At 44.5% G+C, this 13,190-nt stretch overlaps 1 long non-coding RNA gene across 1 annotated transcript in view; it reads right to left on the bottom strand.

Moving 5' to 3' along the window:
- Positions 1-12,877, bottom strand: part of LOC107986428 (uncharacterized) — a 32,170-nt gene extending 19,293 nt beyond the window's left edge. The window contains exon 1 of the long non-coding RNA XR_001742759.2: positions 12,656-12,877. This is a non-coding gene — a long non-coding RNA (uncharacterized LOC107986428). The remainder of the gene's footprint in view (positions 1-12,655) is intronic.
- Positions 12,878-13,190: the final 313 nt, after the last annotated feature.

The raw sequence follows: 13,190 nt of genomic DNA, 5'->3' as shown, positions 1-13,190 counted from the left end.
CCTCTCTGCTGTTGTGATATTTTATTGCCTTTGAAGCATGTGACCCACTCCCTATTCGTACACTCCTTCCCTTTTGAAATCCCTAATAAAAACTTGCTGGTTTTGTGGCTCAAGGGGCATCAAGGAACCTGCCAACATGTGATGTCACCCCCAGAGACCCAGCTGTAAAATTTCTTTCTTTTGTACTCTTTCTCTTTATTTCTCAGACCGGCCAACACTTAGGGAAAATAGAAAAGAACCTACGTTGAGATACTGGAGGCTGGTTCCCCTGATACATCAGAAACTGCTATACCCCTACTTTATTTTTGATTCATAACCTTCACAAATATACCTCAGAGCCTGAACAAAACAAAAACAATAAAAAAAATGCATGACTAAATATGCATTTTACACAAAGAAATAACTCTGTGTGCTGTTCCACCAGGCAAGGTGCAGCTACAAAGAGACAGCAGAAGACAAAGAAGAATTCTTAAAGGCTTCTTCTGAACACATCTTATAGCCTTCAGAAATTATATGAATTGGGTACTTATTTAAATAATTCAATAGCAGGAATATAGGCTAACTTTTTGTTTTTAAAAATGAGCCAGTCCCAAAAAGTATGGCTAAGATTAGGTTTAGGGTCAAAATTATGCCCAATTTTATTCATCATTTCTAAAAAAGGAAAGACGAGTCTTCCAGGAAACATGGATGGGACATAAAATGTATTCCTCCACTTCTTCCCCTGAGAAATAACAAACAAGGCCAAGCAAACACTGAGAAGGAAATATCTATAATGAAATCAGAACAGCCACAATTCCACTGAATAGACTCTGAAGAACGTCTGTCAAATACAATGAAATGGGGACCAAAAAACTGAAGGAGCGTGCTGATATTTGACACTCATCTTATGCAAGATACAGGGAGTGTGCAGTGAGCCCTCTCAACAATGCTTACACTGGATATGGTTAGAGTGGGATATGCATGAACTCAGCATGCGTGGTGAGCACTCATTGCATACCCAGCTTGCAGGTGAAGAAAGTTTGAAGAATAACCTTTCAGCATGCTTTGAAAACAAATCTTATTGAAGTTTAATATACATACAAAAATGCACTAAGTGGACATACCCATGTAACTAGCATTATCCTGAGGCAGGAGAATAGGGTCTGGAGACAGGGAGCCTAACAGCAACCTGCGGCTGACTTCTTGGAACTGGACAGAAAGGAAAACCCCACTTCTCCATGCCTAAGTGACAAGGGGCCAGAGGTCCCTCCCTCTACAAATCCCCCTCTCCCATACGTCATAAATGGGAAATGCCTTTGATCACAGGACAGGCTTCCACTTCAGCCTCTGATTGGTCATGGGCCAAGCTTCCACTCAGCCTCTGACTGATCGTGGGTCAATCCTTCATTTGCATAGTGTGTAACCTATCAGAGGCTTTTAAAAGGTACTTGAGGGTGTTACCAAATTATTTTAGTTCATAAAAACCCTAAAGAACATTGCAACTGGCGATCTTGAGCCACTTGCTCGAGCTTGCTCCCACTCTGTGGAGTATACTTTCGCTTCAAAAAATCTGTGTTTTTGGCCGGGTGCGGTGGCTCATGCCTGTAATCCCAGCACTTTGGGAGGCCAAGGTGGGCAGATCACAAGGTCAGGAGATCGAGACCATCCTGGCCAACATGGTGAAACCCCATCTCTACTAAAAATACAAAAATTAGCTGGGCACGGTGGCATGCACCTGTAGTCCCAGCTACTTGGGAGGCTGAGGCAGGAGAATTGCTTGAACCTGGGAGGCGGAGGTTGCAGTGAGCCAAGATCATGCCACGTACTCCAGCCTGGTGACAGAGCAAGACTCCATCTCAAAAAAACAAACAAACAAACAAAAATAACAAAAAAAAGCCTGTGCTTCCATTGCTTCATTCTTTCATTGCTTTGTTTGTGCCTTTTGTTCAATTCTTTGTTCGACATGCCAAAAACATGGAAAACCTGCAGTCAAGACTTTCCATCTGGTAACATATATTGACGAGCCAGCCAGGAAGTAAGCACAATTGCCAGGAGTTTAGATTTCTTTTTCTCCTTCTTTTTATCAAGGCTGCCATTTGCAGGCATGGGTGGGGCAGTTAAAAGCCACTAGGGCATCCACCGCTTGAAGTCTCCCATGACATGATAACTTAGTCATGGAACAGGACATCTAGATCCTGCCAAGCACAAGACAAATCCATGCAACGGTCAGGTTTGCGTATGTGCAGCAATAATGTCTTTGAGATAATTTAATCCTTCACCTTCTAATTTCTACCCTTGCCTTGCAGATGCTTTGTGGGGGCCAGGGACTGCAAAACTGTTGTTGCATTTGAGCCCCCCATTACTTATCTGCATGCCCTGTTTGTTTATACATGGAAAGTGCAAAAAAGAACAAGCTTAGAGAAGACCCCCACATCTTGGGGCTTCTTAAACATTATTTTTCCTGTCCAGACCCCAAAGTAAATTACCAGCCGCAGGGATTCATATACCACCCTCCATCCTTCCTGGCTACAAGAAATACTCCACCAACCTTAATGTTATTGATATTAAGATTTTTGGCTATTACCATAACCCTACAAGGAATGCAAGAAGATATGGTGTATCTAAATTGGTGGGATGCTAAACGCCAGACAGTATACCCAGGAACAAAAGAGAAGCTCACGGTAGGCCATTGCCTACCAAGGGAAAACACAGAAAGTGGTGCCAGTGCCCACCTAAGGTCAGAGATGTCTGACACTCTAAGACTTGACCTAAAGGGATCCCCCTGGGGATCCAATGCCAAACCCAAGACTTCCCCTCGAGGATACCCCAGGTAGAAATTGTGGATGAACAAATAAGCCCTCCTGAGGATCTCTTTTCTCTTCCAGACCGCTATGGGAAGCACCCCATCTATTCCACCTGATTCCCCTCTTGGCTGCATCCTAAACCACTGGAGTCAATTTGACCCTGACAATCTGAAAAGGAAACGCTTGATTTTTCATTGTAATATTGCATGGCCCCAGTATCAGCTGGACAGTCAGGAATAACAGCCAGTCAATGGGTGCCTTAACTATGACACACTATTCTGCAATTAGACTTATTTTGCAAAAGACAGGGTAAATGGTCAGAAATACCATACACATTCAAGCTTTTACAGCTTTGTATCAGAATACTTCCATCTGTAAGTCTCCCAAGACTTGCCCTCAAATGGAGAGCCCCAAGACTGAGCCAGACATTGTGGATGATCCTCTCTCACAAGGGTCACTTGTCTCTCAGGGGGAACCACAGCCACCCCTATATAACCCCTTGTCAAATGCTCCAACCATGCAAGGCCACCCAGAGAAGGAAAAAACTTATATTCAGCCCCCAACATAACCGAAGTGGAACACCCTACTCAGCAGCTCCCCTGACACTACTGCCTCTTAGGGAAAGTAGCAGGAGCAGAAGGGCCACTTTGAGTGCAAGTCTCATTTGCCATAACTGATATTCAACAATGTAAAGAAAAACTGAAAAGATACTCTGACGACCCTGGCAAGTTTGTAGATGGGTTCCAGACCTTGGTTCTGGCCTTCAATTTATCAGGGAGAGGTATCCAATTTATTTTAGCATGCTGCTACACCCCTATGGAAAAGGAAAGCATTTTTGAAGCTGCCCACTGTGAGGCAGACAATACGTTTGCCTGAAATCCCCAGGGCAATCACCTGGGCCCAGACACAGTGCCCACCACTGACCCTAAATGGGATTATAATACCCCTGTGGAAATAAACAGGCAAGCAAAGTTTCTTGAGGCACTCCTTGGAGGGATGAAAAAGGGGATAACCAAGACCATAAATTATAAGGTCAGGGAAGTCACATAAGGGAAGGAGAAAAACCCAGCTATGTTTTATGGCAGGTTGGAAGAGGCCTTCAGAAAATATACAAATTTAGACCCTTCCTCTCCCAAGGGTATTGTGCTAATGGCACAGCATTTTATCAGCCAGTCCACTCTGGACATCAGGTGCAAGCTCCAAAAATTGCAATATGGGACCACTAATAACCAAAATCAGTTTCCTGATACTGCCTTTATGGTATATAACAATCGTGACCTGGAGGAGGGGAAAAAAGAACAGAGTAGAGAAAAAATGACACACCAAAATTATGGTAGCCATCACAGCCAACGCGCTAAGTGCCCAAAGAGCATTAAAGGGAAACCCAAAGGGCCATAAGGATGATGCCAACAAGGCTCTTGCTTCAAGTGCAAGAAAAATGGACATTGGGCAAAGGACTGCATTAAGCCGCTGCCATCAGTGTGAAAGCACCAGTCATGACCCCTGGCACTGGAGAACTGACTGCCCTGGCTCCCACCAAGGGGCTCAGTCAGTCAAGACTCTAGCAGTGCAAAAGAAGGAGCTAGATGAAGACTGAAGGGGCCTGGGACTTCCTCACTGCCCCTGTCCAGGCACATCATTATTACTACTGAGGAGCCCTGGGTAACTGTGGATGTGATGGGCAAACAAATTCAGTTTCTTTCTTTTTTTTTCTTTTTTTCTTTTTGAGACAGAGTCTAACTCTGTCACCCAGGCTGGAGTACAGTGGCATGATCTCAGCTCACTGTAACCTCCGCCTCCCAGGTTCAAGTGATTCTCCTGCCTCAGCCTCCCAAATAGCTGGGATTACAGGCATACACCACCATGCCTGGCTAATTTTTGTATTTTTAGTAGAGACGGGGTTTCACCATGTTGGTCAGGATGGTCTCAATCTCCTGACCTCCTGATCTGCCCGCCTTGGCCTCCCAAAGTGTTGAGATTACAGGTGTGAGCCACCACTCCTGGCCCAAATTCAGTTTCTTTTTAATACACGGCCAAGCTAGTTTGCCCTTACTGCTTATTCAGGAAAACCCTCAACTAGGACCATGACTATTATAGGAATGGAAGGGAAAAATAAAGTCAGGCATTTTATCTCTCCTTTAACCTGCCAATCTGAAAAACACATTTTCCCACAGGAGTTTCTAATAGTACCAAGCTGCCCAGTCCCCTTGAGAAGGGATATTATGGTTAAAATAGGGGCACTGCTACAATTTAAGTACCACCCATCAAGATTGCTAACGCTAAGTGATGCAGACAATGTTCCAGGCCATGTCAACAAACATGTCAACCACTAGCATGGTACACTGGGAGGCCTGGAAGAGCTAGAATGGCAGTGCTCCAAAATACAGCTTAAAGAATCCAGTCGTTTTCCCAACCAAAAACAATACCCAATTAAGCTGGAAGCACGAAAGGGCTTAGCATATGTAGTTAAGGAGTTGCTTGGCCAAGGACTCTAAAACCCTGAAATTCTCCCTACAATACCCCCATTTTACCTGTTTTAAAGCCTTCAGAACACAGTATAGTACAGGATCTCGGTGCAATTAATGAAGCCATGATACCTGTCCACCCATTAGTGGCAGATCCATATATTCTTTTCCGTTTTTTTTTTTGTTTGTTTGTTTGTTTGTTTTTTTTTTTTTGAGACAGGGTCTTGCTCTGTAGCCCAGGCTGGAGTGCAGTGGCACGAACTCGGCTCACTGCAAGCTCTGCTTGCTGGGTTCACGACATTCTCCTCCCTCAGCCTCCCAAGTAGCTGGGACTACAGGCACCTGCCACCACATCTGGCTAATTTTTTTTTTTGTATTTTTAGTAGAGACAGGGTTTCACCATGTTAGCCAGGATGGTCTCGATCTCCTGACCTCATGATCCACCCGCCTCGGTCTCCCAAAGTGCTGGGATTATAGGCGTGAGCCACTGTGCCCAGCCCCATATGTTCTTTTAACTCAAGGGCCGGGGAATGGTTCTCAGTCCTAGACTTAAAAGATGCTTTCTTTTCCATTCCTCTGGCCCTAGAATCTCAATACCTTTTTATTTTGAATGGGAAGATCCTAACGGCAGAGAACAATGACAATACAACTAGTTGGACAGTACTCCCTCAGGGCTTTTGGGATAGCCCCTATTTTATTTTATTTTTTGCCTGAGCCTTAGAAAGGGATCTAAGGGAGCTGGGCGCGGTGGCTCATGCCTGTAATCCCAGTACTTTGGGAGGCCAAGGAGGGCGGATCACCTGAATTCGAGAATTCGAGACCAGCCTGACCAAGATGGAGAAATCCCATCTCTACTAAAAATACAAAAAATTAGCCAGATATGGTAGCTCATGTCTGTAATCCCAGCTACTCGGGAGGCTGAGGCAGGAGAATCGCTTGAACCCAGGAGGCGGAGGTTGTGGTGAGCCGAGATCGTGCCACTGTACTCCAGCCTGGGAAGCAAGAGTAAAACTCAACCTCAAAAAAAAAAAAAAAAAAAAGAAAAGAAAAAGGGATCTGAGGGATCTGCAATTGGGAAACGGGAGTGTACTCCAGTATGCTGATGACCTTCTTGTGTGTAGTCCAACCTGGGACGCATCTGACCAAAATACTGTAAGAACCTTGAATTTACTGGCAGACATTTGAGAAACTTGAATTTACTTGAATACAAAGTGTCCAAAAAGAAGGTTCAATTCACCCTCCAACAGGTCCAGTATTTGGGGTATAGCTGTGGGAGTGCTAACCCAGAAATTGGGATCAGAACCCAGACCAACCACTTGCTTTTCAGAGAAATTGAATGGAGTGGTTTCAGGGTGGCCAACCTGCCTGTGGGCAGTAGTAGCAGCCACTGCTATTTTAGTGGAGAAAGCCACTAAAATCACCCTGAGTCAACCACTGGAAGTGTTAAGCCCACATCAGGTAAAGTCAGTCCTAGGAATAAAAGGATGTATCTGGATGACAGGAGAAAGGTTAACCAAATACCTGGCTATGGTCCTGGACAATCCAGAGGTTACCCTTAAACCTATAACACCCTGAAATATGGCTTCATTGCTTCCCAGAGGCCCAATAATTAATCATTCCTGCGAGCAGGTCATCACATACACATATGTCATCCGACATGATTTAAAAGATCAGCCCCTCCCAGATTCAGAGGATGACAGATTCATAGATTGCAGTAGCTTCATGTCAAATGCAGGGTGGGGTGGGGGTGGGGAATGCCAGGCTGGATATGCAGTATTAAATTACAATACCATTACTGATTTCCAGCTGCTGCCCCCAGGCATGTCAGCACAAAAAGCTGATAGAATTGCTCTTACTCAAACCCTGATATTAGGAAAAGGGGAAAAGGTTAACATCTATACAGATTTTAAATATGCATTTCTTGTGGTTCATGTTCATGCTGCAATTTGGAAAGAAAGAGGACTACTAACTAGTAAACATTCCCCCATAAAGCATGGGTCTGAAATTCTTCAACTATTGGAAGCGATACACTTGCCAAAAGTCATATCCATAATCCATTGTAAGGGGCATCAAAAGGACTTAACCCGTATAGCACACGGGAACAAAAAGACTAAGAAAGCCAACGCAGCAGCCCATGGGGTGCAGTCTCAACAAATCTTAGCACTGCCTCCATTTTTATGATTCCCAGTAGAATCTGAATACACATCACAGAAGAGTAGTTAATAAAAGAACGAGGGGGACAAAAACAAGGATCCTGGTGGCATACAGGATCAAAAGTATATATCTCCCTCAAACAGCCCAATGGAAAGTTATAAAAACCCTGCATGACTTTTTTTTTTTTTTTTTTTTTTGGACACAGTGTCTCGCTTTGTGACCCAGGCTGGAGTGCAGTGGCATGATCTTGGCTCACTGCAACCTGCCTCCTGGGTTCAAGCGATTCTCCTGCCTCAGCCTCCAGAGTAGCTGGGATTACAGGTGCAGACCACATGCCCGGCTAATTTTTTTTTTTATTTCTAGTAGAGATGAGGTTTCGCCATGTTGGCCAGGCTGGTCTTGAACTCCTGGCCTCAAGTGATGCACCCACCTAGGCCTCCCAAAGTGGCAAGATTACAGGCATAAGCCACAGTGCCCAGCCTAAACACCCTGCATGAATCTTTCTGTATGGGGGGAGATGCTACTCTGGCCATCATAAACAGGCTCTTTATTGGGCCTAACTTAGCTTTGGTGATTAAGCAGGTCTGTCAAGCCTGCTCACTGTGTGCATTCAACAACTCAGGAAACAAAATGCCTCCTCTAATGGAACCAGTCCAGAGAAGGTGAACTCATCCAGGCAATTGGACTTTCCCCATATGCCAGCCTGCAGAGGATGCAAGTTCTTGCTAGTGATACAGGATTTTCTGCTCCTTAGTTCAGCTAAAATCCAGGTTCTAGTCTCACATCTGGGAAAAATTAGGCACACAGACATTGAAGGGCGAGGAGGGCAGATTTATTAGGTGAAAAGAAAGCTCTCAGCAAAGAAAGAGGGGGTCCTGCCAACAGGCTCCCACCTCACAGACTGAATACCAGGCCACCACACAGGGGCTGAAGAGGCCAGGCTCCTCCTGAGAGAAGGTGTGAATTCCTGGTGCTCCACACCATTCTTACAGTGTGCAGGGGGGCCCTTAGTCTGAGCCACTCCACACTGACTTATTTCCCTTACTGTGCATGTATTAAGGGACAGAATTTTTCAACGTGGCCATGTTTAGGCAAGCTCCCTGTGCACAATGATCTGGGTGGCATTTGGCTGTCTCCTGTCTCTATCGTTAGTACTAATAGACACCTTTCCTGGCTGGGTTGAAGGTTACTTTACCAGAACAGAGAAGGCTAATGAAGTTATAAAGGTTCTCTTAAAGGAAATAATCCCTGGTTTGTGTAACCCCAAAGCCTCCAAAGTGATAACGGCCCATCTTTACTCAAGGGGTTGCTAAGGCTCTCGGAATCAAATACTATTTATATTCAGCACGGAGGCCTCAATCCTCTGGGAAAGAAGGGCTAATCAAACTCTGAAATGGGTGTTAGCTAAGCTATGCCAGGAAACATCAGAAACTTGGGTCAGCTTACTGCCCATAGCCCTCTTAAGAATCCACAACTTTTAGAGAGCAAAAATACATATGAGCTCATATGAGATGCTATATAGGAGGCCATTTTTAACTAATGATCTAATTACTGATCCAGAAATGGCTGGTTTAATACAGTACCTAGTTAACCTAGGACAATTTCAGCAGGCACTACAAAAGTTTGGAACTCAAAGGCTTCCCACATCAGGAACTAACCAGCAATTCAAGGTCAGGCCAGGAGATAAGGTAGTTGTTAAAACACGGAAAGAGGGGTCCCCCACTCAACAACTACAACCCAAATGGAAGGGACCTTTTTCAGTGGTGTTGGCTATGCCTTCTGCAGTCAAAGTACTAGCATTAGATAGTTGGATACCTCGTTCCAGGATCAAGTCTGCCATACCTGAAGTCCTGGACCTGGAACCTGAAGCTCCCATCACCACTACCCGAAGACCTGAAGTTCCTATTCAAAAGGACAAAATAACACTTAAGTGCTTTTGGCTCCCATAATGATTCGCCATGGCCTGTGTATACTGGACCGTATATACAGGGAATTAGCTTAATTTTTCAGTGGGGCTCACCCTACCCCTCCGGCAATTAGTGAATTCTGGTTATTTATTAAGAACATTAATTAAACACAAAGACTGTTAAATACCACCAGTCCACCTTTGGCAAAGCACTGTTGGCTTCGTCTATCTCCATCATCATCCAAATATGCTGCCATCCCAATCCCAACCCAATCTTGGGCCTCTGAAAAAATGACCTATCTCACCTGAACCATAAGGGAAGAATCCCCTTCAAATTAATGAACCTGGATGACTTATATGACTCCAAAGTTACAAAATTGACAAAGGTTACAATGACAGGATAAACAGTAAACCTTCTCCAGTCCTACCAAAGCAACCTTTCTGGGGTCACATCCCCTCAAAAACCCATTTGGGGCTCAATATCAATGCACACAGAACTAAGATTCCATGCGCCCTTTGTATTAAAAGAAGCAAAAATTTTGGTCAGGCCCTTTGTATTAAAAGAAGCAAAAATTTTGAAAAGTCATCAATGCAGCTATACCCTAGGTATTAACCCCTCACATGATCATGTAAGCTATGCAGTTACCCAGACTGCATCATTTAGGAAACCTGTACAGTTTTCAGGGAAACCACCCCTAGTTAAGGGTACTTTAAAGGATTCACAGTCTAAGTACTAAGTACTGTCTAAGTACTGTCAGGGTAGGCCCACCAGCTGTGTTCACATTTTCCCTTGGGAAGACTGTACTAACTCTGAGACATCTAGCTGCCTTTTAGTTCCCCATTATGAAAATACCTCTAGGTGGTTGTTGGTGGATACTAAGCATAACTACCTACACTGAGGGAAGAACAAAACCACTGGAGCAACTCAGGATACTTCCCAAGGCTCCTTCCAGCCTTTAATCGGGGCCACTTTAGCAAGGACTTTAACCACTTGGGAAAGTGAAAACAACAAGCTAACTCATACGTTCACCATAGAGAACAATTTTTGTCTTGAAAAACAAGAAGCCTTTTTCCCATGTGAGACTAGTTCCTACTTATGTTTACCAGCCAATTGGACTCGAATCTGTACACTTGTTTATTTAGCTCCAAGATCAATATGCCTCCCAATAACCAGTCTTTCATTATATCTATAACTGCAACCGCCAGGCACAAATGAACCATCCAACTCATGCCCCTTTTAGTATGAGGTTAGGAATAACTGCAGGAGTAGAAACAGGAGTTACCAGGCTTGCAACTTCCCTATCCTATTACCAATGCTGTCCAAGGATCTTTCAGACAGCCTGGAAAACATTGTCCAGAGCATTGTCACCATAGAAAATCAGATAGACTCCTTAGCAGTGGATGCTTTACAAAATAGAAGGGGACTGGATACCCTAACTGCTGAAAAAGGTGGCTTATGTCTTTCCGTAGAGGAAGAATGCTGATTTTATATCAACCAAATCAGGATTAGTAAGGGATTTTGGCTGACAATTAGCTGAGCAGGCCTCTGAAATACGACAACAGCTGTCCAAGTCATGGGGCTCCTGGTCAAGGGCACTAAGGTGGGCTTCATGGCTCCTTCCCCTGGCTGGCCCATTATTAATAATTATACTTGTACTGATTTTTGGACAATGTTTGTTAAATCTTTTAACCAGATTTACTTCTTCTTGCCTTGAGGCCATTAAGCTTCAAATGATCATGTAGCAGGACTTCCTGCCAGTTCCAGGTGACAATGCCAGCCCCGGTCATCAAGAAGTCATCCTGTCTCCACTAGACAGAACGGGGCGAGAGTTCCATGGTCCCCAATAGGTAGGGACTGCGCCCCAATCATCATGAAGCAGTTACAGAAGAAAGGCCGTCGATTCCTTTGTCTCCCATAAAGATTCATGGGAATCATGTCTCTTAGGAGGAAATGAAGCAGGAGAATAAGGTCTGGAAAGAGGGAGCCTAAGGCCAATCTGTGGCTGACTTCTTGAAATTGGACCAAAAGGAAAACCCCACCTCTCCATGCCCAAGGGACAAGGGGCCAGAGGTCCCTCCCTCTACATAACCTCCTCTCCCCTATGTCACAAATGGGAAATGCCTCTGAATGGTCACAGGACAAGCCTCCACTTCAGCCTCTGATTGGTCCAATCCTTCATTTGCATAGTGTATAACCTATCAGAGGCCTCTAAAGGGTACTTAGGGGTATAACCAAATTCTTTTAGTTAATAAAAACCCTAAAGAGCATTGCAGTTGGGGCCCTTGAGCCACTTGCTCCAGCTTGCTCCCACTCTGTGGAGTGTACTTTTGCTGCAGTAAATCTGTGCTTTCGTTGCTTCATTCTTTTGTTGCTTTGTGTTTTGTTCAATTTATCAAGAACCAGGACAACTTATAGTTAAGACCTTCCACGTGGTAACAATCTCCAGATACAGGATATTACCATCACCACAGAAGGCTGCCTTGTCCTTCACCAAAGGAGGTTTTCTAATGGGGTAAGTTGGTTTTGCTTCTTTTTACTCTGGGTATACGTGGAGTCATACATACATAGCCATACAGTATGTATGGTTATGTCCATTGGTCATGCCATTTTTATTTCCTCCTGTGTAGTTTCCTAACCAGGGAGAGAGGTCAAGAGATGAGCAGCAGAGGGAACCAGCTTGCTGTAGAGCAAAGATGACTAAATATAAATAAGTAAGACTGGACCTTTTAAATAAATGGCCAGGGAGCCACAGAACCTCACACTGTCCTCCAATTTGAAGAGCATGAGAAACCTGGGACTGTCCACTACTCTCCCCTTACACCAGACTAGACATACACTAGTGATGAAAGATGAAACAGGCCGGGCGCGGTGGCTCATGCCTGTAATCCCAGCACTTTGGGAGGCTGAGGTGGGCGGACCACAAGGTCAGGAGATCGAGACCATCCTGGCTAACACGGTGAAACCCCATCTCTACTAAAAAATACAAAAAATTAGCCAGGCGTCGTGGCAGCTGCCTGTAGTCCCAGCTACTCGGGAGGCTGAGGCAGGAGAATGGCGTGAACCCAGGAGGCGGGGCTTGCAGTGAGCCAAGATCGCACCACTGCACTCCAGCCTGGGCGACAGAGTGAGACTCTGTCTCAAAAAAAAAAAAAAAAAAAAAAAAAAAAAGAAACAGATAACAGTGATTGCATGCTTGGAGATAGCATACCTAAAGTGGGCTGGCTGATTTGCTGCTCAGCATCACTATTCTCTGCTGCTCCCTGCCTATCTCCGCTGAAAGTAACTGAATAACCACACAGATTACAAGGTAAAAGCATTAGGAAAAGGCAGGTGCATTAATACTTACTTTTACTACACTGGGCAAATATCAGTCTATGCAGAACTGTCCCCACTCAAAGATAAGGAAAATGATGGTATGCAACCTATGCAAAAATAATTTTTATAATTAAGGGCTATAACATGAAAAAGATAAATGCAGAATATACACTTGAAGCTCGGTGTGATGGCACACACCTATAATCCCCGCATTTCGGGAGGCTGAGGCAGGAGGGCTGTTTGAGCCCAGGAGTTTGAGACCAGCCTGGGCAACAAGGTGAAACCTTGACTCTACGAAAAATACAAAAACTAGCTGGGCATGGTGGTACACACCTGTAGTCTCAGCTTCTTGGGAAACTGAGGTGGGAGGACTGCCTGAGCCCAGGAGGTCAAGCCATGATTGCTCCACTGTACTCCAACCAGGGCAACAGAGGGAGACCCTATTTTGGAAAAAAAAAAAAAAGAAAATACATTTGAAGATTCCTCCTGAAAACTTTTAAAGTTTTAGAGAAAAAACATGGGCTGTGATATCTTAGGATCTGAAGAAAACAAATGGAAAGAGAAAC

The sequence above is a fragment of the Homo sapiens genome, chromosome 5 (genome assembly GCF_000001405.40).
Source record: "Homo sapiens chromosome 5, GRCh38.p14 Primary Assembly".
NCBI lineage: Eukaryota > Metazoa > Chordata > Mammalia > Primates > Hominidae > Homo > Homo sapiens.
Note: the sequence above shows the minus strand (reverse complement) of the source record. Positions and strands in the feature narration are given on the sequence as shown.